Source organism: Homo sapiens, chromosome 16 (assembly GCF_000001405.40).
Source record: "Homo sapiens chromosome 16, GRCh38.p14 Primary Assembly".
NCBI lineage: Eukaryota > Metazoa > Chordata > Mammalia > Primates > Hominidae > Homo > Homo sapiens.
The window spans coordinates 84,855,802-84,882,860 of NC_000016.10; the positions used below are offsets into that span (position 1 = coordinate 84,855,802).

At 48.0% G+C, this 27,059-nt stretch overlaps 1 protein-coding gene across 2 annotated transcripts in view, besides 1 other annotated feature; it reads left to right on the forward strand.

Annotated features, from left to right (window-relative positions):
- Positions 1-27,059, forward strand: part of CRISPLD2 (cysteine rich secretory protein LCCL domain containing 2) — an 89,524-nt gene that overhangs the window by 35,817 nt on the left and 26,648 nt on the right. For both annotated transcript variants that reach the window (XM_005256190.2, NM_031476.4), the window contains 7 exons: positions 11,096-11,239; positions 13,050-13,110; positions 16,641-16,707; positions 17,191-17,321; positions 18,119-18,162; positions 21,637-21,709; positions 24,708-24,783. In XM_005256190.2, the coding sequence (XP_005256247.1) occupies positions 11,096-11,239; positions 13,050-13,110; positions 16,641-16,707; positions 17,191-17,321; positions 18,119-18,162; positions 21,637-21,709; positions 24,708-24,783 (596 nt within the window). The remainder of the gene's footprint in view (positions 1-11,095; positions 11,240-13,049; positions 13,111-16,640; positions 16,708-17,190; positions 17,322-18,118; positions 18,163-21,636; positions 21,710-24,707; positions 24,784-27,059) is intronic.
- Positions 23,800-24,999: an enhancer, noted in NCBI's record as "CDK7 strongly-dependent group 2 enhancer chr16:84913207-84914406 (GRCh37/hg19 assembly coordinates)". NCBI's record gives its function as "activates an origin of replication core promoter dependent on BRD2, BRD4, P300/CBP, MED14 and CDK7 cofactors, with strong dependence on CDK7, by STARR-seq in HCT116 cells {active_cell/tissue: HCT116}" and the evidence as "EXISTENCE:reporter gene assay evidence [ECO:0000049][PMID:35650434]".

Genomic DNA, 27,059 nt, shown 5'->3' on the forward strand with positions numbered 1-27,059 from the left:
TCCTTCGTAAAACTGGAAACTCACCAATCCCCAACCCAAATACTATGACATAAAGTTAACAATACTTAAATGCTGATATGAAGTTAATAAATCTTATGTCCCATGATGAAGGAAAAAGGAAATAACATGAAGATATTTTCTTAGTACAAGTGTATACATGCACAAGCAAGTTTTTAACAAAAGAAGGAGGAAATACTCATAACAATTACAGTCCTCATATCTGCAACTGGTCACGTGGTTATAGCTGGTATTGATGACTACCTTCTTCTACTGCCCATTCTGTATTCCCTTTGCCTTCAGCAAGCACCTCAGCAGGTCATGGTTTTTTTCCTGGTGGAGTGACCCAAACCTTCATTCCTAAAGGGTCTGGACCATTTGTAGTCCTGCCTGGATTAGGCTGTTGTAGTTTCCCATTGACCTTAATCACAGGGCATGGTAATACTAAGAGATGCCCTAAGGGAGCTCCTGTATTCCACGCATACTCTTCCTTACCTCCACTGTGGAGCGGTAGACTGATTTCATCTTGATGATCCATGTCACTCACCCCAGCCAACACTGTAACTCCCTTCTTAGCCTGTTGACTTAAGGGGAGGAGGAGCCCAAAGTGTCCAGGTGGCAACCTTAACTTCCAGTTTAATGGGATTGCTGCTATGTCTCCTGGTGGCAGCGTTCCTCCCTCTGGAACTAAGACCTCTAGGCCAGCAGAATGTAATGTCACAGGAACAGGAAGCAAAAATTTTGCTAGTGGGTCACTAGGGGTGAGGGTGAGTGATGCCATTTCCACTTCCACCCCTTAATTCCTGAACTCGTGAATATTGGCTATGGGAGAAACAATCCCACATATTGGATGCTGATTGAGGGCATACATGGCCTTCTGGAGAACTTTGCCCCAGCCCTGCCAAGTATTGTCACCTAGTTGGCATTGTAATTGTGACTTCAAAAGGCCATTCCACTGTTCTATCAATCCAGCTGCTTCAGAATGTTGGGGAACATGGTAAAACCAGTGAATTCCATGAGCATGAGCCCACTGCCACACTTTTTTAGCCATAAATTGAGTGCCTTGGTCAGAAGCCATGCTGTGTGGAATACTATGACGGTGGATATGGCATTCTGTGAGTCCACGGATGGTAGTCTTGGCAGAAGCATTGCACGCAAAATGGGTAAACCTGTATCCAGAGTAAGCATGTGTTCCAGTGAGGACAAACCTCTGCACTTTCTGTGATGGAAGAGGTCCAATGTAATTAACCTGCCACCAGGTAGCTGGCTGATCACCCCGAGGAATGGTGCCATATCGAGGGCTCAGTGTTGGTCTTTGCTGCTGGCAAATTGGGCACTCAGCAGTGGCCATAGCCAGGTCAGCCTTGGTGGGTGGAGGTCCATGTTGCTGAGCCCATGCATAACCTCCACTCCTGCCAACACGGCTACTTTGTTCATGGGCCCATTGGGCGATGACAGAGGTGACTGAGGAAAGAGATTGAGTGGTGTCCACAGAATGAGTCGTCCTATGTACTTGACTAATAAATCCTCCTCTGCTGAGGTCACCTTTTGGTGAGCATTGACATGGGATACAAACATCTTCACAGTTCGTGACCACTCAGAGAGATCCATCCACATCCCTCTTTCCCAAATTTCTCTGTCGCCAATTTCCCAGTCATGCTTCTTCCAAGTCCCTGACCATCCAGCCAAACCACTGGCTACAGCCCATGAATCAGTATATAATCGCACATCTGGCCATTTCTCCTTCCATGCAAAGTGTACAGCCAGGTGCACTGCTCGAAGTCCTGCCCACTGGGAAGATTTCCCTTCACTGCCATCCCTCAAGCATGTCCTAGAAAGGGGCTGTACTGCCGCAGCTGTCCACTATCAGGTAGTGCCTGCGTATCATGCAGAATCATCTGTGAACCAGGCCCTAGTCTTTTTTCATCTGTCAACTGATCATAGGGAACTCCCCATGAGGCCATTGGTACAGGCTGGGGGAAAGAAGGCAGGGTGGCAGCAGTGGAGACCATGGGCAGTTGAGCCACTTCCTTATGTAACTAACTTGTGCTTTCAGGACTTGCTTGAGCTCAATCACACATATGCCACTTCCATTTGATGATGGAATGCTGCTGTGCACGACCCGCTTTATGGCTCGATGGGTCAGAAAGCACCCAGTTCATGATGGGCAGTTCAGGTCACATGGTGACTTGATGACCCATAGTCAAACGTTCAGTTTCCACCAAAGCCCAGTAACAGGCCAAGAGCTGTCTCTCAAAAGGAAAGTAGTTATCTGCAGAAGATGGCAGGGCCTTACTCCAAAATCCTAGAGGCCTCTGCTGTGATTCACCTATGGGAGCCTGCCAGAGGCTCCAAACAGCATCCCTATCTGCCACTGACACCTCAAGCACCATTGGATCTGCTGGGTCGTATGGCCCAAGTGGTAGAGCAGCTTGCACAGCAACCTGGACCTGTTGCAGAGCCTTCTCCTGTTCTGGACCCCACTCAAAACTGGCAGCCTTTTGGGTCGCTTGATAAATGAGCCAGAGTAACGCACCCAGATGAGGAATGTGTTGCCTCCAGAATCCTAATTGGCCCACTAGGCGTTGTGCCTCTTTCTTGATTGTAGGAGGGGCCAAATGCAGCAACTTCTCCTTCACCTTAGAAGGAATACCTTAACAGGCCTAACACCACTAGACCCCTGTAAATTTTACCAAGGTAGAAGTTTCCTGAATTTTAGTCAAATTTATTTCCCATCCTCTGGCACACAAATGTCTCACCAATAAGTCCAACGTGTTTGCTACTTCTTGCTCACTGGATCCAATCAGCAAAATGTCTTCAGTGCAATGGAGCAGTGTGATATCTTGCAGAAGCGAAAGCAATCAAGTTCTCTCTGAATCAGATTATGACACAAAGCTGGAGAATTGATATACCCCTGAGCTTAGGACAATAAAGATACATTGCTGGCCTTTCAGCTGAAGGCAAATTACTTCTGGTGGGTCTTACGGACGTGAATGGAGAAAAAGGCATTTTCCAAGTCAGTGGCTGCATACCAGGTACCAGGAGATGCGTTAATTTGCTCAAGCAATGAAACCACATCTGGTGCAGCAGGTGCAATTGGAGTCACCACTTGGTTAAGCTTGCGATAATCCACTGTCATTCTCCAAGATCCATCTATCTTCTGCACAGGCCAAATGGGAGAGTTGAACGGGGATGTGGGAATCACCACCCCTGTGTCTTTCAAGTCCTTGATGGTGGCACTAATCTCTGCAGTCCCTCCAGGGATGCGATATTGTTTTTGATTTACTATTTTTCTAGGTAGGGGCAGCTCTAATGGCTTCTGTTTGGCCTTTCCCACCATAATAGCCCTCCCTTACCTGTCAGGGAGCCAAAGTGGGGGTTCTGCCAGCTGCTAAGTATGTCTATGCCAATTATGCATTCTGACACTGGGGAAGTGACCACAGGATGAATCTAGGGACCCACTGTAAGCCAGACCTGAGCTAAAACTCCATTAATTACCTGACCTCCATAAGCCTCTACTTTAACTGGAGGACCACAGTGATGTTTTGGGTCCCCTGGAGTCAACACCTGCTCAGAGCCAGTGTCCAGTAGTCCCCAAAATGTCTGATCATTTCCCTTTCCCCAGTGCACGGTTTCCCTGGTACAAGGCCAGAGGTCTCCCCGGGGAAGTATGGGAGAAAGATGAACAGCATAAATTGTCAGTAGCGTAGTGGGGTCCTTCCTCAAGGGGACCTAGCCTCCCCTTCATTCAAGGGATTCTGGGTCTGTAAACTGGCTCAAATCTGGAAATTGATGGAGGGACCGTGATTCTCTGTTTTTATAATTCAAATTAGTCTTTTGTCCACTCAATCTGGAAGTTTTCTGCTTATGTAAATTAAGTGGGAATGTAGTAGGCTTCCTGTCAATTTCACCTCTAGGAGCAGCACAATTAATTAGCCAATGACAGGACTCTACACGAGCCAGACTATTCTGATTGCTGCTTTGCCTCTGCTGTCCATTACGGTAGCTATGCCCACCTTACTTTTGATGGTTGAGTGCTGCCACTTGGCCCCTGCCACCTTGGGATCTAATCATTCCCATTGCATTTAAATTTTGTAGTTGAGTGACTGTGGTTCCCACTGTTAGATCTGACATACAGAAAAAAGCAATTACAAAGATGCAGGTGCTGCCTTTACAAATCTATTTCACAAAGCATTAGTCAAGGGTATATCTTCTGGATTCTCCCAGCTGGAATGAGTAGGTCCAAAATGACTAATCCACTCTACCATCCCAATCTCCCTAAGCCTTTGGATCCACATTAAACCAAGGGAGATGAGGCATTTCCAGTTCACTCACAGTGGGCCACCTTTTAATCCATATTTCAGCTAACCAAGCAAATAAAGCAAATAAAAACAGTGAAGAACCTTTTTTAACTCCCTGAGCTGCAACATTAAATTAAATGCAGAATCCCTATTTAGTGGGCCCAAATCAAGAAATTCAGCCTGATTCAACTCTATGTTCCTTCCACCATTATCCTACACCCTTAATATCCATTCCCATGACTATTCTCCAGATTTCTGCTTATATACATTTGAAAATTCAAGCAGTTCTTTTCGAGTGTAGCATGTGTCACACTCCGAACCTCACCTCTAGCAGCCCGCCAGGACTTTAGTCTAGTTATAGGTCTAGAAGCAAACAGGGATGTTGGGGTTGGCTCCTGAGGAGAATCAGCATTATCTTGCCTGGCAGCTGCCTCAGGCGCCTCAGGCAGTGCAGGGTTTATCCCCTCAGACAAAGGTGGAAAGGCTGACCGCAGCGTGGGTCGGGGAGGAGACGTTGCCACTACTGGGGATGGGGAACCTGTTTCTTCTGGCAAAAAAGGTTTATCAGCATTTACAAGCTCAGTGTCCCTAGCTTCAGCAGGGTCCTCCCACACTTCCCCATTCTTTTCCAATCAATGCCCTCACTTTAATAAGTAGACACCTAGCGAGGTGTCTGTGCATGCACCTTCATTGCAGGTCAGCCACTTGCATGAGAAGAGCTTGTGTCTGTTTTTCCACAATTTCAGCTCTTTCTCTACAGGAGATAAGACTCACTCATGATAATCTTAGCAGATTTGAGGCTCAGTATCTGCTTCTGAAGCCGGAAGTTAGAATCCCTGAGTTCATCATTTTCTTTCATCACTTTGTCCGGTGAACTTAGAAGCAACCAATCAGCTTCATTATGTTCCTTGGTTCTCCACATATAGTCAGAGGTATTCAGTCTAGAGTCACTGAACTCCCCTCTCAGGAGCGCTGAATCAGGAGTGTCAAATGCATTTATTGTGCATAACTCTCCAAATAGCTCATGCCAAGGACTCCCAGTGTTCTCCATACTATTAGAAGTAGAGTCCTTAGCATTTTGGGATCTAATCATATTAAGCAGCCAACTCCAGAAACCCTAAAACCAATGAAAGAACTCCATCCTTAATATTGTGTTCCTCTAGAACCACTCCTGGTACCAAAATCTGTATTCGTCGGGGTTCTCTAGAGCAACAGAACTAATAGGATATATATATATAGGGGAGTTTATTAAGGAGTGTTAAACTCACACAATCACAAGGTCCCACAGTAGGCTGTCTGCAAGCCGAGGAGCAAGGAAGCCAGTCCGAGTCCCAAAGCTAAAGAACTTGAAGTCTGATGTTCGAGGGCAGGAAGCATCCAGCATGGGACAAAGATGTAGGTTGAGAGGCTAAGGCAGTCTCGCCTTCTCACATTTTTCTTCCTGCTTTATATCCTAGCTGCTATGGCAGCTGATTAGATGGTGCCCACCAAGACCCAGCCCACTGACTCAAATGTTAATCTCCTTTGGCAGCACCTTCACAGACACACCCAGGATCAATACTTTGCATTCTTCAATCCAGTCAAGCTGACACTCAGTATTAACCATCACAGGCCAGGAGTTCTAGATCAGCCTGGACAACATAGCGAGAACCCATCTCTACAAAAAATAAATAGAAAATTAACCAGGTGTGGTCACGTGCACCTGTGGTCCTGGCTGTGGCCTGGGAGGCTTAGATGGGAAGATCGCTTGAGTCCAGGAGTTTGAGGCTGCAGTAAGCCATGATGGCGCCACTGCACTCCAGCCTGGGCAACACAGCGAGACCCCAACTCTAAAAACATAAAACAGACATTTGAACAAGAAAGTAAAAGCAAACAACGTGATATTCCAAATGAGCTCACTAGTGGGAAGTACCTGCAATGTGGACAGCTGGGTAGGATCAGTCCTCCCGGGCTGTTTGACCCTTTACTCCTGTGTCCTTGCCCCCATTGGCCTCCCCTTTATGCATGTGTCTTGCTGGTGCTCCCCTGACTGTGCTAGAGGTTTCTCGCCCCCACTCCCACAGCTCTCAGAACTGGAGCTGTTGGGGCGGTGCGATTTTCTACCTAGTTCACCTTTTTTTTGAGTCATGGCCTCCCTTTGTTGCCCAGGCTGGAGTGCAGTGGCGTAATCTTGGCTCACTGCAGCCTCAACCTCCCGGCCTCAAGGGATCCTCCCATCTCAGCCTCCCGAGTAGCTGGGACTATAGGCACATGCCACCATGGTTAATTTTAAAAATTTTTTGTAGAGACGGGATCTCACTATATTGCCCAGGCTGGTCTCAAACTCCCAAGCAATCCTCCCTCCTTGGCCTCCCAAAGAGCTGGGATTACAGGCGTGCACCATCATGCCCGCCCACCATTTCTTCACTGGTTCCCATTTAGGATGTTTCCACTTCTGCTACTATAAATAACACAGGTTTCTGGTGCCTAAAGCGTTTCTCATGTCTTGGGATATTTCCTCAGGCTTTCAGAAGTTATGTCCCCGATGGGGCATGGCTGGTCCATGGTGCTGACCATGCTCGTGTGGCCCAGGCTTTTTTTTTTTTTTTTTTTTTTAACGTGGCTCCACTGGCAGCCTTGCCATGACCGAGGGGCCTTGCAGAGACTTGGGTGGGCTCCGCTGGCAGGGAAGGGTGGGGTAGATGTGGGATCAGGCTGGTGGGTTCTGGAGTGAAGAACAAGTGGGCTAGATCAGTGGTCCCAGACCCTCTGAGGAGCCAGGTCCTCTGTTGTCCCAGCCAGCTGTTCATGGCTGACTGCCCGCTGGGGAGAGGGGACATCCTAAGTGGGGATGGGGATGGAAGAAGGAGCGATCTGGACACTAAGACAGACCATGTATCTGGGTCTGGGTCATGTATCACCTGTTGCAGTCTTGGTGTGACCCCCGCCTCCAGGGAGCCTTCCTGGACTTCACAGCCAGACAGTGCACCTGCCCCATGTTCATCAACCCCCAGACTCCTTGGGAACCTTGATCGTCCTGTCGTCTCAGCTGCCAGCTCACTCCAGGGCCTCCGGAGGCACATGGCAGGGGTGTCTTATGTGTTGTTTGAATAAATATGCCAATAGCCACAGAGGGGCATTTTCAAAGAACAAATGTGCACAGAAACCTTAGATGCCAGTTTACCTCCACCAACATAGCTTCATGTACTTATTTTTAAATTTTTGGTAGAAAGTATCCAACTTTCCTTGGCAGACACCCAATTTCTCTAGCTAAGCACGCAGCAAGTCTCCTCTGAAGCAGCTTATCTGCAGAAGCTATTTACCAAGAGCATATCCAGGGTGCCTGGTAAGGCCTTGACCTCTAACGGAGATGGAGCAGGGATAAGGATATAAAAAAAGAGGTATTCTCCCCTCTCACCCCCACCTGTGTGGTGATAGAAGGCGCAGGCTTTGGGGAAAGGTGGTTTGACACCCAGCCCAGGTACTTCCCAGCTGTGCGAGCCTGGGCAGGGCCCTTACCCTCTCTGAGCCTTCTTCCTCATCTGTGAAATGTGGCCAATCATGCCTCTGAAGGCAAATGGGAGGTTGACAGAAGAAAATGCTGGGGATGGCCGGGCGCGGTGGCTCATGCCTGTAATCCCAACACTTTGGGAGGCTGAGGCGGGCAGATCACCGAGGTCGGGAGTTTGAGACCAGCCTGACCAACATGGAGAAACCCAGTCACTACTAAAAATACACAATTAGCCGGGCATGGTGGCGCATGCCTGTAATCCCAGGCTGAGGTAGGAGAATCGCTTGAACCCGGGCGGCGGAGGTTGCAGTGAGCCGAGATCACACCATTGCACTCCAGCCTGGGCAACAAGAGCAAAACTTCCTCTCAAAAAAAAAAAAAAAAAAGAAAGAAAGAGAGAGAGAAAAAAAAAGAAAAGAAAAGAAAGAAAAATGCATGCCGGGGAGGGCCCAGCCAGCATCTGGCCAGTGCTCAGTGAACATTAGCTCCGGGCATGGTCACCAGCTTTAGAGCCAGAAGGGAATCTGCAGAGTGACATAAACAATGCCCTGAGACCCTGGCCCGGAGCAGAATGGGGCACAGAATAACCTTGCCGTGACCTCTGCACGGAATTTCCCCAGGCCCGTGCTGGGCCATACAAGGTGTCTTCATTAGGAGGTACTCGGATCCAGCCCATCCTGCGGGTAAAGCCTTCTACTTTTCATTTGTGGGTGTGAGAGCCAGGACTGTCTGTCTGCCCATTTTCTTAAATAGAGAGTCCTCAAATGCTTTAGACCGCTTTACCAAACTGTCTTCGGCTAAATAAAGCTGCGATTATGAGGTCTAAACATCCTAAAGGCCAGTGGAAGAAAACCCGGCTTATTCTCCAGCCAGCTCCCGCTCTCAGTGAGGGCAAGCCTGAATAGCCTCATTGACGGGAAGAACAGACACGCGCCTGGGCAGCCTCTGCAAACCCGGTGTCTTCCTGAAGCTTCCACCCATAGCTTTTGCTACCAGAGGTGCTTTCAGAGTTCCCTCTTTGAATGTCTTTAAGCTCTGTTGCTGGACATATGCTCTTTTCTTTAGGTGACAGGATTCTCTGGGGGTTTTGGTAGTTCATGCATTTGTGAATTTTGTTGAGCAGCTGCTGTGTGCTGGGTGCCAGGTGTGAGGCAGGCTGGCCCCTGGCCTCTGGAGGTTCGCAGCTGGTGGATGAGGCAGGTGGTGGGGAAATGACAGTTGCGAGCAAGCTGCTGGGGAACAGTGCAGGGTGACCCGTGAGCACATCCAAGATTAGAATTGGAGCTCAGAATGGCTTCCCACCTTCTGACTTAAACCCGTCCCTTCCCCTTGTGGGACAGGACCAGCCTGGGGTGGTGGTTGTAGGGTAGTGAAATTGGCCAGTGAAGCAGCTATGGAGAACCCCAGCCCAGGAAGGCGTCAGGGAGTCAGGCATTTGCCCCTCGTTTGGCTGTTTGGTATTGTGTGGACACAAAATACTTGCTGTGTCCTTTAGCAAAGAAAGCTCATGTATTTTAAGAAGTGGAGCTAAGACTTAGGGATTGAGGAACACCTGATGAAACTTGGATTTTTTTTTTTTTTTTTGAGACAGAGTTTCGCTCTGTCGCCCAGGCTGGAGTGCAGTGGCACGATCTCCACTCACTGCAACCTCCACCTCCCAGGTTCAAGCAATTCTTCTGCCTCAGCCCCCCAAGTAGCTGGGACTACAGGCACCCGCCATCATGCCCAGCTAATTTTTGTATTTTTAGTAGAGACAGGGTTTCACCCTCTTGGCCAGGCTGGTCTCAAACTCCTGACCTCATGCAATCCACCCGCCTCGGCTTCCCAAAGTGCTGGGATTACAGGTATGAGCCACCACACCTGGCCCTGAAACTTGGATTTTAATCCAAAACCACAAAGAGACCTGCGAGCGTGCTCTAGTTATTCTCCTTGAAATTGTTTTCACCCAAATACATCTGTTGCCTTTTTTGCTTGGGGAGCTTGGAGGCCACAGGTTTCCAACTCTGGTCCAAAGACTTCTGTTGGGGCATAGGAGGAGCATGCCATAAGTAAAGGTATTAAGTGTCCCCAGCAGATATGCTCGTGAATTTGTCTTTGATCAGGCCGCTCAGGCAAATGAAAATAGCAGTGTCTTTGCTTTAGCTGGAATTTACAAATTGGTATCCTGGTGGCCTGATTGCAGATTCTGGTGAGCAGTTTGTAGTTGTCTTTCAGGATGAAAACTGGAAGATAAGCTAACTCAGGTTTATTAAGTGCAATGTGTTTGGTTAATTAAAATGTTTTAAAACATGGGTCATGGTCATAGTTGGAGAAATAATAATATACCATGTCCTTGAATAAGGAAAAGATTGTTCTTTCGGATAGTTGGATAGTTCTACATGTTGAGTCTGACATTATTGGACAGTAAAACTCCAGTACAGAAGCAACAATTGAGCTGGTTAAGTGACCCTGACTGGCAGGAGGAGAGAAGGGATGGAAGTGGGCTGGTGTGAGGTGCAGTTGGGGTCTAGGAGCACTGAGGCTGGCCTTGTGCACCGTGATGTGTGCATGATGAGGAAGACCCCTTCCCCAGTGAAAACCCAGGGACAGGGGACTTCCAGCAAGTCCACTATGGCTTTGGGCCAGTGGCCGAGGCAGTTTTGTTTTTTGGTTTTTTTTTTTGAGATGGAGTTTCGCTCTTGTCACACAGGCTGGACTGCAATGGCACAATCTCGGCTCACTGCAACCTCCACCTACCGGCTTCAAGCGATTCTCCTGCCTCAGCACCCCCCAAGTAGCTGGGATGACAGGCGTCCGCCACCATGCCCAGCTAATTTTTGTATTTTTAGTAGAGACGGGGTTTCGCCATGTTAGCCAGGCTGGTGTCAAACTCCTGACCTCAGGTGATCCGCCCACCTCAGCCTCCCAAAGTGCTGGGATTACAGGCATGAGCCACCGCACCCGGCCTGAGGCAGCTTCTTGAAGTTGCTTCGTGGGGGCAGAGGGTCAGGTGGAGGAGGAGATGGGACAAGAAACCATTATGATAACCCAGGTGTGGGCGTGGGGCCTGCTAACCTCTGGGCAGCCTGGCTGATCTTGGGTCCAAAGCAAACACAGTGAGCGGAGAGCGTCCCCGTCTCATCTGGGCTGGTAGAATTCCACCTGGCCAGGTCTGTTCTGAAATGTAACTTTCTCTTTGCCGCTGAAATGATTCTTTGTAAAACCAAACCTCAAACACGTTTAGTTTTCAAATTGCTTTTTTTTCCCCAAAGTGCGTTTTTGTTGAATCCCAGTGTGTTATTTTTTTTCCTCCCTCTCCAATGTTAAGAAGAAACCTACACTCCAAAACCTGAAACGGACGAGATGAATGAGGTGGAAACGGCTCCCATTCCTGAAGAAAACCATGTTTGGCTCCAACCGAGGGTGATGAGACCCACCAAGCCCAAGAAAACCTCTGCGGTCAACTACATGAGTGAGTCTAGGCCGTCCTCCGCCCCTCCTGCCCTCCCAGCCACCTCCAAAGGGGACGGGGTGGGTGGAGGAGGGGAGCTAGTGGATTTAGGTCTGCAAATCCACAGGCAGTGGCAAACAGGGTGCGGCGAAGCTCATGGAGGCACAACCATAAGACGTTTTTCAAAAACGATATTTTTAAGTCATTTCAAAAGCGAGCATTATAGGACTTGTGCTTGGGTGGCATTTTCCCCACACCCAGGCAGGTATTTTAAGGTTAGACCTTCCCTTGTCCTTTCAAAAGGGACCTGGGCTGAAGTTGGGTTCCTCTGGGAAGCGCTGGCCCTGCAGAGGGCAGGCAGCGTCCAGCCTGGCTCTGGAAGGTTCCACTCCTTTCTCACCAGGTCCTGGGTCTGGACTCAGTTGGCGCATCCATGAAGTAGGGGATAGAGATGCCACATCAAGGTTGCCCGGAGGATGAGCTGCAGCAACACGGGTCACCCAGTGCCAGCTGAGGTCTCCCTGTACATTGAGATCATTGCAGAGTTGCCTACAACTCTTTTTTGAGATGGAGTTTCGCTCTTGTCACCCAGGTTGGAGTCCAGTGGCATGATCTCGGCTCACTGCAACCTTTGCCTTCCGGGTTCAAGCAATTCTCCTGCCTCAGCCCCCTGAGTAGCTGGGACTACAGGTGCCCACCACTATGCCCAGCTAATTTTTGTATTTTTAGTAGAGAAAGGGAGATGTTTCCCCCTGGGACTTCCAGGAATCCCCAAAATATTGACTCTTCCCCTGCTCACCTTTGGCCTTTTGGCTCCCTGGGCACCTCAGCTCCCCAAGCTTTTGTTCTGTCTGCCTTCACCGCCCCAGGGTGGAGTTCAGCTCCCCTTCAGCTCCCCCCAGCCACTGCTGCGGGAACTCATTTGCAGCCGCCGTTTCTGCAGGCCGGGGGCTGTGGAGGGGCGTTTTTGCTCAGGCGGGGCTGGAGGGCTGGGCTGGATGCCCTTGGCTCTCCCCGTTTGCCCCGCAAGCCTCAAAGGCCCTAAAACTGGACCCCTCTTTGAGGAACAGCCTCACACCCGCCTTCTCAGAGCCCCTCTCTTCTTTTCATAACTACCATCTCCCCTGCCCCCACCAGTCTTTCTGTCCTCTTCAAACCTCTTTCCCTGTGATGCCGAAGCATTCTGTAGCTTGCTTTGACCAGGAAACCTGCGGAGGCCCTTGTCTGTCCAGGAGTTCAAAACGGTGCCATTGTTTCTTTTAATAACATACAACGTTTATGTCCCTTTTCAAACTATAACACGACTCCGAGACTCTGATATGTTCCCATAAAATAAACAAAGCAAAAAGCTTTGCAAAAGGCATCTTGGCGATGGGGGAGATGACTCGGGTGAGCCTGGCTGGGTCTCCGGCCCCACAGGCTCGGAGCAGCATCCTCCCTACCCTCTCAGGAGTCCTGCCCTGCAGAGCCCTGTGGGACCACAGGCACATCGTGTGTGCCAGGCACCCTGCCAAGGCCAGAGTTCACTTTCTCTCTCAAGGTTCACAAAAGCCCTTGGAGGTGGGTACTGTCACTGTCCGCATTGTCCATATGCGGAAATTGAACCTCAGAGAGGGGAAGCAAATTGTTCAAGGTCACACTGCTACTGTAAAGCGGTGGGCCTGGGGTCTGAGCCCCCAGCGGAAGCCTGCAACCATCAGGCATTGCCCTTGCTCTTAGTATAGCACGGATTGGATTGCAGAATGTTCCAGAATGTCCCTCAGCATGGGGAAGGGTCTTCTCACCCTCCTGGTTTCGTGCCGTGACATGTATTCCCGCATTTCTCTCCTAGCCCAAGTCGTCAGATGTGACACCAAGATGAAGGACAGGTGCAAAGGGTCCACGTGTAACAGGTGAGCCTGTGCTGGGCTGTCCTGCCACTGTAGCCTCTGAGTCTGTGCTGGGCTGTCCTACCACTGTGGCCTCTGGGCCTATGCTGGGCTGTCCTGCTGTTGCATATTTAGCAAGCTGCTCTCAGCAGGCAGAACAGGGGTTAGGGCTGGGCAGTGTCTGGGCATGTGTTCGCCTCGGCCGTTGGCAGATCCTATGGGAATGCTGCAGGATCTGAGCAGGCTGCTCCCAGTGGGCCCCACCAGACAGATGGGCCACCGGTATATTCCCCCCATGGTAGATGAATAAATCCATCTAGTTGTTGCAGTCATTCAGATGATGAACGCTGTCTGCCAAAAAGAACGCATTTGGTTTTGGCAGTGTGACTGCTGGGCTGTTCTTTGTGGTAGTAAACAGCCAACAGGTGCAGCCGCCGCACGCACACCCTCAGAGTCAAATGGGAAAACCATGTCATTGGGAGAGGGGACCTTGCTCGTCTTCCTACGAATTCTGGCATCAGTTTGCCGAAAGCTGAATCGAGTTATTTAAAGCACATGTTAAAAAGGGAAGGTTGAATCTTCGGTTTTATATCGCAAGGGTTTGGAATTCAGTTTGCCAGGAGAACACTTCACTTAGACGTTGGCAGGACTGTGATGAGATGGACTTGGAGCAGCCGGGATGAGGCGGCTCAGTGGGCTCACATGTGGTACTGTCGTTTGTTGGTGAGATGAGCCTCATGTGTCAACAGTCAGCAGTGGAATAACAGTGCCTAAAACCTCGCGCTCAGTGTTAGGGTAGCATTTGCATGTCTCTGTGCTGGGCGAATTGGGAAAAAGCAGGCAGCGCCTGGCAGGGGCCTCCGCCGTGTGCACTGCCCCGTCTGGGCTGCTGAGAAGCCGGAGTTGTCCTTTTGTGGCAACGCATCTTTCTGAATGCTAAGCACATTGCGATAGCATCACCCCTGAGTAGTACTCAGTGGAAAAAGGTGAGCACGTATTGGAGAACATTCCTTGTCAGACAACATCGAGGCAGTTCCAGAGTTGGGGTGGGTGGGGCACTCCCCATGCAGGGAGAAGGCAAGAATCTGTCCACACAAAGGCTCTTAAAGGCCTCCAGTCAAGAAAAGTTACTCAGCCCCAGTGTGCCACTGTGGGAGCATCCTCATTCTCTCTGTAGAAGCCGGCCCACAGTCTGGCACACCTGTTTTCTGTTCATGGTGCTTTTACAAAAATAGTAGTCAGTGGGTTTTTTTTCTGACTTGAAAAGGCATCTATGCTCATTAATAATTATTCAGGAAAGCAATAACAACAACAAAAAAGTAGAAAGAAAAAAATGTGTTCCAAAATCTCATCAATACCAGCAGCAATTTGATGTATTTCCTTCCAGTCTTTTTTTCTGTGTACAGATGAGGCTAATGCTGCCCATGTATTTTGTTTTTTTTTTTTCTTTGAGTTGGAGTCTTGCTCTGTCACCCAGGCTGAAGTGCAGCAGCATGATCTCGGCTCACTGCCACCTCTGCTTCCCGGGTTTAAGTGATTCTCCCACCTCAGCCTCCCGCGTAGCTGGAACTACAGGCACACGCCACCATGCCCGGCTCATATTTTGTATTTTTGGTAGAGATGGGGTTTCACCAGGCCAGGCTGGTCTCAAACTCCTGACCTCAAGTGATCTGCCCGCCTTGGCCTCCCAAAGTGTTGGGATTACAGGCGTGAGCCACTGCGCCTAGGCTGCTTATGTATTTTCACTTAGTATTTTCCAAATATTCTTCACGCACTTCATGCTTAGTGACTGCCTGATACTCTGACACACGACTGTACATGAATGTGTTTAGCCATTGCTTTGCCACCTGCTGGCTTATTTCCAGCTTTTCACCATTATAAACAGTTGCGGCCAGGTACGGTGGCTCAAGCCTGTAATCCCAGCACTTTGGGAGGCCGAGGCGGGTGGATCACTTAAGGCCAAGAGTTTGAGACCAGCCTGGGCAACTGGCGAAACCCTGTCTCTACTAGAAATACAAAAATTAGCTGGACATGGTGGCATATGCCTATAGTCCCAGCTACTCGGGAGGCTGAGGCACAAGAATCGCTTGAACCTGGGAGGTGGAGGCTGCAATGAGCCGAGGTGTACTGGTGCACTCTGGCCTGGGTGACAGAATGAGACTCTGTCTCAAAAATTAAAAAATGATAAATAAATAGTTGGGATATGCTTGCAGGTCTGGCTTTCTTGACTTTTTGCTTGGAATATATATTTACAAGGGAAGCTGAAGAGCTAATGGATATGAATGTTTAAGTCTTTCTTAAAGATTTTCTTAAACATTAGAGTGATTTACACTTCCATGAACAGCAACACCATCATTGAGTTTTACCCTATTAAAAAATCCTTGCAGGCCAGGCATGGTGGCTTGTGCCTGTAACCTCAGCACCTTGGGAGGTCAAGGTGGGTGGATTGCTTGAGCCCAGGAGTTCGAAACCAGCCTGGGCAACATGGCAAAACCCCCAAAATTAGTTGGGTGTGGTTGTGCACACCTGTAGTCCCAGCTACTTGGGAGACTGAGGTGGGAGGATCACCTGAGCCCAGGAAGTTGAGGCTACAGTGAGCTGTGATTGCGCTGCTGCACTCCAGCCTGCGTGATGGAGTCAGACTCTTTCTTGGGGTTTTGTTTGTTTGTTTGTTGGTTTGTTGAGACTGAGTCTTGCTCTGTTGCCCAGGCTGGAGTGCAGTGGCACGATCTTTGCTCACTGTAACCTCTGCCTCCAGGGTTCAAGTGACTTTCCTGCCTCAGCCTCCCAAGTAGCTGGGACTACAGGTGCCTGCCACCACACGCGGCTAATTTTTATATTTTTAGTAGAGATGGGTTTTTGCCATCTTGGCCAGGCTGGTCTTGAACTCCTGACCTCAGGTGATCCACCTGCCTTGGCCTCCCAAAGTGCTGGGATTACAGGTGTGAGCCACTGTGCCTGGCCTTGTTTTTTTTCAAATGAGAAAAAAAAAAAAAAAAAAAAAAAAAAAAAGACTATGGTTGACCTTCTATTTCTGTGGATTCAACCGGCCTCTGATTCAACCAACCTCAAATTCAACCAACTGCAGATCAAAAATATATTTCTTAAAAAGTGTGTGGTATTACAGTATAATAATAAAAAACTGATACAAATTTTAAAAACAATACAGTGTAACAACTATCTACATAGCGTTTACCTTGTGGTAGGTATTATAAGTAATCTAGAGATGTTTTAAAGCATATGGGAAAAGATGCAAAGGTTATACGCAAATACTAGGACACTTTACATAAGGGACTCGAGCATCTGCAGACTTTGGTATCCTAGGGAAGTTCTGGAACCAATCCCCCACGGATACCGAGGGACGACTGTATTGTGCTTGCGTGAATCAGTCTGCGCCTGGGTAAAGTCTGACTTGTCCAAAAACAATGGAATCCACATGAATGAAGCTTTTCTATATTTAGTAATAGAGCCATCGATGAAAAAAATGATAAACTCATTGTGAGATGTAATCAACGTGCTTATCTCTGAACATCATTTTATTTCTTCCTCGTCAGGTACCAGTGCCCAGCAGGCTGCCTGAACCACAAGGCGAAGATCTTTGGAACTCTGTTCTATGAAAGCGTGAGTGTGGCCAGTCCTCCTCTCAATGGCTTGTGTGGGATCCTGTTGCATATGTTTAAAGCAGGTGGTTGGCTTTAGTAGGAAAAGATTTTCTTTCCACTCCTTAGTCAAACCTGGCATTTCTAGAACTGGGGCGGGTGTATATTTATGGGCTTACAAACTAGCAAAGCCACTTTCGGGGACCAATCCTCCTGAAGGCCAGTCTCCGTCTTAGACTGAGCATTCACACACTGGACCGAGCAGGGAGAAAGGGATGTTTGTCACTCTTCTTAGTTTGTAAAGCAACTCAGATGAGTTTTTAAGGTAAGCAACCCCAGGAACAAATATGTGGTTACAGACAGAGGCGAGAGGCAGGAGCAGAGTGAGCTTTGGCCTGTCCTTCAGGCTTTTAGTGAGTTGAGGACAAATGTTTGGGTATTTCTGGTGAAACTTGCTGACAGAGGTTGAGAATGTGCCTCTGGTCTTCTCTTCCCTTCCCGCCAGTCGTCTAGCATATGCCGCGCCGCCATCCACTACGGGATCCTGGATGACAAGGGAGGCCTGGTGGATATCACCAGGAACGGGAAGGTCCCCTTCTTCGTGAAGTCTGAGAGACACGGCGTGCAGTCCCTCAGGTAACTACTCTGTGATCGGGGCTCTGTGAAACGGTTTTCCTGTTTATGACGGTGTTGTTGAAATTTTGAAAAATACCACACAGGCCGGGCGTGGTGGCTCACACCTGCACTTTGGGAGGCAGAGGCAGGTGGATCACCTGAGGTCAGGAGTTCAAGACCAGCCTGACCAACATGGTGAAAGTCCGTCTCTACTAAAAATACAAAAGTTAGCCAGGCGTGGTGGCAGGCACCTGTAATCCCAGCTACTCTCAGGAGGCTACGGCAGAAGAACCGCTTGAGGCCGAGGCAGAGGTTGCAGTGAGCTAAGATAGTGTCACTGCACTCCAGCCTGGCCAACACAGCAAAACTCCGTCTCAAAAAAAAAAAAAAGAAAACAACAACAACAAAAAAAAAAACAAAAAAAAAACCCACAGCTCTAACTCTAATGCAAATGTGTTTTTATAATTTGATCATGATATTAATAATAACTTCTTTGTAATGTTTTAAATTTATCTTCTTAAAATTTCTTTATTTTGCAGCTGTGGTTAGATTAAATTTATCTTATACATTTGAAAACCATTATTCTTAGAAGGGATCTATAGGCCTCACCAGGCTACCAGAAGAGTCCTTGGTACAAAAAAAGTTAAGATGCCCTGGTCTAGAACATTCTAAGAGCTCTCAGGCTGATAGGAAACAAGTAGAAAAGTGTGAAGTCGAGACTGCAAATAAGATAAGTATAGGAGCAAGCGTTCACTTTTAGAAGCAATTCTATTTGCATTTACCTAATGCCCGTTTTTTTTTTTTTTTTTTTTAAACAGCAAATACAAACCTTCCAGCTCATTCATGGTGTCAAAAGTGAAAGGTAAGCTAGCCAGTCTCTTTTGCGACCATAATACCTGGGTTATCTCAGATTTTCCTGGAAATTTCACTTCCTTTAGTCGCTGATTTAATGTTTATCATGCGTGTGAACATTATGGTTCTCATCATTGTCAAGCCTTTTTCAAGACGTCATCTCTTTAACCAGCTTCTAAGAATATCTGGACTGGAAATTGGCCTGAGATCACTGAACCAGAAACACAGGGCTGAGGTTGCCAGCTGAATGTCACAGACATACTGATGCCTGGGGCTAAAGTGGCTGAGAGGTTTCACTGGGAGTGCCACTTTCTGTCGATTGGTAATGGCTACCTGGAGTGTTGTGTTAAGAAGGATTCTGAGGCCTCCATCTGGGCTTAGTGGAAAACAGAGCTTGATAGATTAGTAATGTCTGCCATGAGCAAGAGAGGGAAGTGAAGGGAAGTGTGTGGCACTTACTTGCCATCTCTGGCCCAGCTTTTTACATTGCTTAGTGTATGTTCATTTGGAAGGTGGGATGCACGATGGGCGAGCACACTCCAACCAGAAGTGAAGGGATGGATCATAGCTGCCCACACTGTGCCCTTGACTAGAATAATCTCAGGCAAGCAAGGATGTAGGAGCCATTCCAGCTTCCTCCCCGGAGCTCTGCCGGCAGACCATGCCTTTGTTTTGGGACAGCAACTCTTATCATTTGCCCTCATGCAAAAGTTCTAGTTAGATATCTTTATTAAAATATGTAGTAGTTTTTTTTCTTATTGCAAAAAGAATGCCTGTTTATTCCAGATAATTTAAACACGGAGTGGAACATTTTTTTGTAGTGATGACCTAAATTCCAGCAGCCAGAGATAACCATCGTGAACACTTTGGCAAATATTCCAGTTTGTTTTCTCTACATATTCAAAGTATGTACATTGGTAATATATACATCGATGACTTTTAAAACTTGAAATGGAGTTACATACAATTTGGTAACCTAATTTTTTTCTTAAATAATTATGTGTCTGGCTGATGCAGCAGCTGACACCTGTAATCTCAGCACTTTGGGAGACTGAGGCGGGAGGATTGCTTGAGCCCAGGAGTTTGAGACCAGCCCTGGCAACACAGCAAGACCCTGTCTCTGCAAAAAACACACAAAATTAGCTGGGCAGGGTGGCACACACCTGTATCTCAGCTACTTCGGAGTCTGAGATGGGAGGGTTGCTTGAGCCTGGAAACTTGAGGCTGCAATGAGTCATGTTCATGCCACTACACTCCAGCCTGGGTGACAGAGCAAGACCCTGTCTCAAAAAAATATATACATATGTGTGTGTGTGTGTGTGTGTGTCAGGAATATATTTCTGTGCCTTTAAATCAAGCTTGTCCAACCCACAGCCCATGGGCTGCATGTAGCCCAGGACGACTCTGAATGTGCCCAACACAAATTTGTAAACATGAGAAACATGAGATTTATGCATGGACTTTTTTTTTTTTTTTTTTTTTTTGTAGCTCATCAGCTATCATTAGTGTTAGTATATTTTATCTGTAGCCCAAGACAATTCTTTTTCCAGTGTGGCCTAGGGAAGCCAAAAGATTAGACACCCTTGCTTTTTTTATTTTATTTTTTATTTTGTTATTTTTTGAGATGGAGTCTCTCTCTGTCGCCCAGCCTGGAGTGCAGTGGCGCAATTTCAGCTCACTGCAACCTCCTCCTCATGGGTTCAAGTGATTCTCCTGCCTTAGCCTCCTGAGTAGCTGGGATTACAGGCACCCGCCACCATGTCCAGCTAATTTTTTTTTTTTTTTTTTTTTAAGTAGAGACGGGGTTTCGCCACGTTGGCCAGGCTGGTCTTGAACTCCTGACCTCAGGTGATCCACCCGCCTGGGCCTCCCCAAGTGCTAGGATTACATGCGTGAGCCATTGCACCCGGCCTGGACACCCTTGCTTTAAATGTTCTTCCAAACCTAATGTGAATGATCTCCCCATTGAATAGAAGTCCCTTGATGTACTAAACCAGTCCCCTTTGTTGGATAGCTATATAGAACCATGGCCTGTTCAAGTGACAGACTGGACCAGCAGGGTTCAGCAAACGATGACTCATGGGTTAAATCCTGCCTATTGCCTGCTTTTGTAAATAAAGTTTTATTGGAACACAGTTACACCTATTCCACATCATCTATAGCTCCTCTCTGCTACAACAGCAGAGTTGATTAATCTTGACATCAAACATAAGGACCACAAAGCCAAACATGTTTGCTCTATGGTCCTTTAAGAAAAAGTTTACCTGGCCGGGCGCGGTGGCTCACGCCTATAATCCCAGCACTTTGAGACGTCCAGGCAGATGGGTCACCTGAGGTCAGGAGTTTGAGACCAGCCTGGCCAACATGGTGAAACCCCGTCTCTACTAAAAATACAAAAATTATCCAGGTGTGGTGGCAGGCACCTGTAATCTCAGCTACTTGGGAGGTTGAGGCAGGAGAATTGCCTGAACCCAGGAGGTGAAGGTTGCAGTGAGCCAAGATCATGCCATGGCACTCCAGCCTGGGCGACAGAGTGAGACTCCGTCTCAAAAAAAAAAGGCCGGTGCAGTGGTTTCCACCTGTAATCTTAGCACTTTGGGAGGCTGAGGCAGGTGGATTACCTGAGGTCAGGAGTTCGAGACAAGCCTGGCCAACATGGTGAAACCCTGTCTCTACTGAAAATACAAAAATTAGCTGGCTGTGGTGGCAGGCGCCTCTAATCCCAGCTACTCGGGAGGCTAAGGCAGGAGAATCAGTTGAACTCAGGGGTGGAGGTTGCAGTGAGCCAAGATCGTGCCGTTTCACTCCAGCCTGGGCAAAAAGAGCAAAACTCTGTCTCAAAGAAAAAAAGAAAAAGAAAAAGTTTACTTAGCCCTGAACTAAATAAAGACATGCTGTCAGAGATCACAGGTGGCCAGTATTAGAACTGTTTCCTTACCTGTGTTGTTTAAACACAACAAAATGACCTTGAAGATAAAAGCCCCTCGCCCCTCAGCAGGGATGAATGTGCCTTGATTAGCGGCAGGAGGTAGGTGGTATGTCAGAAGGAGCTCTAGAGCAGGCACTGGAAAGCTGGGCTCCCACCTCAGTCCTGGGAAGGGCACTCTGAGCTCTCTGAGCTTCCATTTCCTCATCTGCCTACTTAGAGTAACACCTGCTGTGAGGAGCAAAGGTGATCAAGTCAGGAAAAGCTTCCAAATAAGAAAGTCACCATTCAGATGAAAAGCACCATCAGCCCCACAGAGAAACCACTGGGGGTGACAACGCCCTCAACCCGCCAACACATGCAGGCCGTGGGTTTGGTCTCATCTCTTAAGTGCCCCTACGTGGGGTACGAGGAGCCTGCTGGGTCGTAGTCCCAGCTCTATTCAAGGGCCCAGGGAACCCATAGGCCCTGGTAGTCTAGTGGCCCATTGCACAGCCTGGTAGCCTGAGGCCCAGGCGTGCTGGGACCTGACCCTTTCCCCCTTGCTCCTGTTCACAGTGCAGGATTTGGACTGCTACACGACCGTTGCTCAGCTGTGCCCGTTTGAAAAGCCAGCAACTCACTGCCCAAGGTAAGGCGGGCCTGATCTGTCATCTTTTCTATGGAAGATGTTAGAAGTAGCTTTTTAGGCTGGGTGAGGTGGCTCACAGCTGTAATCCCAGCACTTTGGGAGGCCGAGGCGGGTGGATCACTTGAGGCCAGGAGTTCGTGACCAGCCTGGCCAACATGGTGAAACCCCATTTCTACTAAAATTACAAAAATTAGTCAGCCATGGCGGTGGGTGCCTGTAATTCCAGCTACTTGGGAAGCTGAGGCAGGAGAATTGCTTGAACCTGGGAGGCGGAGGTTGCAGTGAGCTGAGATCACGCCATTGTCCTCCAGCCTGGGTGACGAGTGAAACTGTGTCCCAAAATAAATAAAATACAAATTAAAAATCAGCTTTATTGAGGTAAATGATACGATCCACCCATTAGAAGTAAACGATGTGTGGCCGGGCACGGTGGCTCACGCCTGTAATCCCAGCACTTTGGGAGGCCGAGGCAGGCGGATCACGAGGTCAGGAGATCGAGACCATCCTGGCTAACACGGTGAAACCCCGTCTCTACTAAAAATACAAAAAAAAAAAAAAAAAAAATTAGCCGGGCGTGGTGGCGGGCGCCTGTATTCCCAGCTACTCGGGAGTCTGAGGCGGGAGAATGGCGTGAACCCAGGAGGTGGAGCTTGCAGTGAGCCGAGATCGCACCACTGCACTCCAGCCTGGGTGACAGAGCGAGACTCCGTCTCAAAAAAAGAAAAAAGTACACAATGTGTTTTGGCCAAGGTATACAGGGTCACAACCACCACCCGTCAAAGTGTAGACATTGTCAGCACCGAATGTCATTACTGCTCTGGTGGCCAGTCCCTCTCCCTCCAGCTCCCGGCCACACCCCTGCACCAGGGAGCTTCTTTCTGTTGCTCTGATTTTGCTTTTTCAGCAAAATTATGGCGCCGTGGCAGGGTGTGGTCTTGGGTGTCTGGCTTCTCACTCTGCGTCATGTGTTGGAGACTCAGCCGTGTTGTGGAGCGTGTTTGTTTATTCTTTCAAATCCTCATGCAGCATTCCATTCTGTGGATACGTGACAACGGGTTTGTCCCAGGAATCGGTTCTACAGGCAGCTAACCCCAAATGAGTGGTCCACGGAGGACGATGCCTCCCAGCATAAAATAAAGGGTGTCCTGGGAACAGCTGTCGCTGAAGTTCCTGGTAGATCCTCTTGGGAAGGGAACACAGGAACATCCTCTTATTTGAATCGGCTGAGGCACCTTCTCAGGTGGAAAAGGCCGCAGGTCTCTGGGACGTCCCCACTTTATAGATGTTCCCCAGGGTTCAGATCATATAATACATCTGTAATGCTAAGCTGCCCTTCAAACAGAGCACGCTTTCTGACTTAGCTCCATTGTAGAATTAGAAATAGAATGACAGTCCCAGGACCCTGGGTTGAAATGCTTTGAGGATGAAGACAGCTGCCCTGGAGGCTGGGTGGTGTGGCCCTCATGAGCCCTCATCCTGGGCTGGAGACCTGTGGATTCTCCAAGGGACAATAGGTGGTGACCCCAAGGTTCCGAGCAGGGAAAGGCCCAGGAGGGTGACTGGTTGGGAGGGGCCCAGACTGCTTTCCCTTGACTGCCACCCCACTTCAGGCTTTCTCTGGGCCTCCACTGCCTCCGCACCACCGTCTTGATCCCCCTTGAATGTTCGAGTGGGGATAACAGCCTTTTAGTAGATTTTCCCTGAATATTAGAGAGAAGCAGAAGGAAAGAATTTCAGAAAATACAAACAGAAAAACTTGACACAGTGCAATATGCAAAATGTTAATTTCTGATCTGCCATTCCAAAAGAAGTAGGAAAGAATGGAGACTGTTCTTAGACTCTTTCCAATTCTTTTTTTTTTTTTTTTTTGAGACTGAGCTTCGCTCTTGTTGCCCAGGTTGGAGTGCGGTGGTACAATCTCTGCTCACTGCAACCTCTGCCTCCCAGATTCAAGCCATTCTCCTGCCTCAGCGTCCCGCGTAGCTGGGATTACGGGCCTGCACCACCACGCCTGGCTAATTTTGTATTTTTAGTAGAGATGGGGTTTCACCATGTTGGCCAGGCTGGTCTCGAACTCCCGACCTCAGGTGATCCACCCACCTCGGCCTCCCAAAGTGCTGGGATCACAGGTGTGAGCCACTGCACCTGGCCTTCTTTTTTTTTTTTAAATCCACACACACACCCTTTCTCTCTACCCACTCATTTCCCTTCCTCCCAGCCCCTAAGAACTGTTTCAACTTCTCAGTCCCTTTGCCTGGCCTTCTTCCTTCCCATAATCCTGCCTGCCTGGGGCCAGATGGCTTCCGGCTGCCATTTTGGTTTCTTGGTCCCTGGGCTCCAGCCCACGGTGGACTGTTCCAGATAAACACAGAAGATCTTTTCTTAAGTAAAGCCCGTGCTCTTTCCTGGCTTGAGTTTGTCAAACCACCCAGGGGTCACCCATTTCCAGTTTGAGGTGCTTTCCTCATGCCCTGGAGGATCTGTGGTGACTGACACACAGTGATCTAACCCCTTCCACCCCAGGTTATCAGTGCCCCCGCCTTGGAATATTCTGTGACTCAGCGAGGTGAGGGCCCTCCACCCTTTCCTCCTCCACACAGGGAAGCGGCCTTAGAAAAAGTCTCTTGATGCTAATCTCCATAATGTACCCACAGTGTGAACTAGCCAACATCCAAGAATGGGAGGGGCAGCCTCACAATTCCACACTCTTCTCTCTTAGATTTTTATTCTCTTTACCTTTTTGTTTGTGCATGTCTTTTGTGGATGTGTGTGTGTTTTTAAAAATTCTATCTACACTGTTTAAGAGAAGCAAAAATAGTAATATCTTTACCTCTGCTGAGGGGGGAGAAGTATTGTTTTTTTTCTTAATGAGGAAAACTGTATGGCGGTTTCCTTTCATCTACGAACTTAAATCTTGGAATTCAAATAAAGAGAGCCAGCTTAAGAAGTTTGGTTTTCTGTGCTCAGACCCATCACATAAATGCTTCCTGTTTTTCAGAATCCATTGTCCGGCACACTGCAAAGACGAACCTTCCTACTGGGCTCCGGTGTTTGGAACCAACATCTATGCAGATGTGAGTAGGATGCATTTTCAACAACTATCTCGCAAAGCCTGTTAAAGACCTCAACATGCAAGCTCCAAGATCTGGATACTTGAAACTTTATTCCAGTGCCTCTTAGCTAAATTAATTAATTAATTAATTAATTAATTTCGAGATGGAGTCTTACTCTGTTGCCCAGGCTGGAGTACAGTGGAGTAATCTTGGCCCACTGTAACCTCTGCCTCCCAGGTTCAAACGATTCTTGTACCTCAACCTGCCAAGTAGCTGGGGTTACACAGTGCACCACCATGCCTGGCTAATTTTTGTATTTTCAGTAGAGACAGGGTTTCACCATGTTGGCCAGGCTGGTTTCGAACTCCCAACCTCAGATGATCCGCCCACCTCTGCCTCCCAAAGTGCTGGGATTCCAGGTGTGAGTCCCCACACCCGGCCAACCTCTTAGCTAAGTTTAGACCACTCATTTCTGCAAACATTTTCCCCATTTCCCCATTTCTAGAGATAGTAGTGCTTCTACCTACCTGTCCTCACAAATGCAGATTCAGGAGTGCCTGGCCTTACTTAAATGTTTTCGCAGTTTGAAGGCTCTCATGCTTCAGATAGTTCATTTTTCCGGCTATTTAGTCATCTTCCCAGCTCTCCGGATGCATTTATAGAAACTGGTCCACGCACTGTATTTCTTCTCAGTTATGCACACACTTAGCTAAAAGCACAAAGAAGATAATACAGACCACCCTAATTTACTGCTTGTTGATAGCCACTCTGGTTATACCAATCTCTTCCTCTGTTTTTTCCCTCCGAATTTTAACCAGGGAGCTTTAGCCCGGTTTTTCTTAGGTGGATCCTGCAGAACATTGTCTGTTCCCTCTGGTTGTCCAGGGTTTGGGGACATGGTGACCCAGACAATGTGACTGTGGTCCCACTTCTGCTGCCAGCAGGCTGTGTGATCTTGTCAAGCTGTTTCCTTGTGGCGGAACGGCCCAGAACCGGGATTATCAAATCCAGGGAATCTTCTAGATCTAAAATTCTGTGATTAGGGCAGCATCATTCATCTCTAGCTAATGTTTTTTATTTTTTTATTTTCTGAATAGAGGCAAGGTCTCACTATGTTGCCCAGGCTGATCTCGAACTCCTGGGCTCGAGCGATCCTCCCTCCTTGGCCTCCCAAAGTGCTGGGATTATAGGGGTGAGCCACTGCACCCGGCCTCCAGATAGAGCTTTACTCAGCTGCTTGTCATCATCCCCTCCTTTACAGCTCTCTCCCGCTTCCCCGCCATCATCTTTGCCTCTGTCTGCCTTAATGTGTTCCAGATTCCTGTAAATATGAGGTCACTGGGCTCTGTAAGGTCAGAGCAGGCTTCATGACTAAGCTTATCTCCCCCCATCTTTTTTCTTTCCTCTTTAAATGGGTCTTTTTTTCTTCTTGAAAGTGATTCAGCTAAAATTGAGTTATAAGAGTTAGAATTTTTATGAAGGAGTAAAATAATATTGTCGATTATTACACCAAATGTTTGAACCAAATTCTACCATTAAGAGACAGAGGCTGAGGTTTTCAAATGATTTAAAAATAAAGAGCTGGGCAAAGCAATCCCAGCCAAATACAAACAAACACATGAAAAGCAAGAGTGGCAATATTCCTCTCTGAAAAAGTGGAATTTAAAGTTAAATGTACTGAATGAGACAAAGTAATGTTACACAATGGCACAGAAGATACAATTTACAGGAAAAGGAATAAAAACTGTACACACCAAACAATATAGCAGCTAAACCAATAAAGCAAAAAAAAAAAAAAAAAAAAAAAAGCAAGAACTTAATGGATATTTGCAACAATAGAAGGCTACTTTTTTTTCTTTTTTTGAGACAAGAGTTTCACTCCTGTTGCCCAGGCTGGAGTGCAATTGCACGATCTCGGCTCACTGCAACCTCCCAGGTTCAAGAGATTCTCCTGCCTCAGCCTCCCGAGTGGCTGGGATTACAGGCACCCGTCACCACACCCAGCTAATTTTTGTATTTTTAGTAGAGACGGGGTTTCACCATGTTGGCCAGGCTGGTCTCGAACCCCTGACCTCAGGTGATCCACCCACCTTGGCTTCCCAAAGTGTTGGGATTACCAACATGAGCCTCTGCACCCAGCCAGAAGGCTACCTTTTATTCAACACATACTATGTTTTAGGTCCTTTCTTTAAAAACACCGTCTCTAGGTATCGTTATCCTTATTCCTGTAGGAAGAAAACAAGGCTCATAGTAACCTGTCCAAATCCACACAGTGAGCACGTGGCAAAGGTGACAAA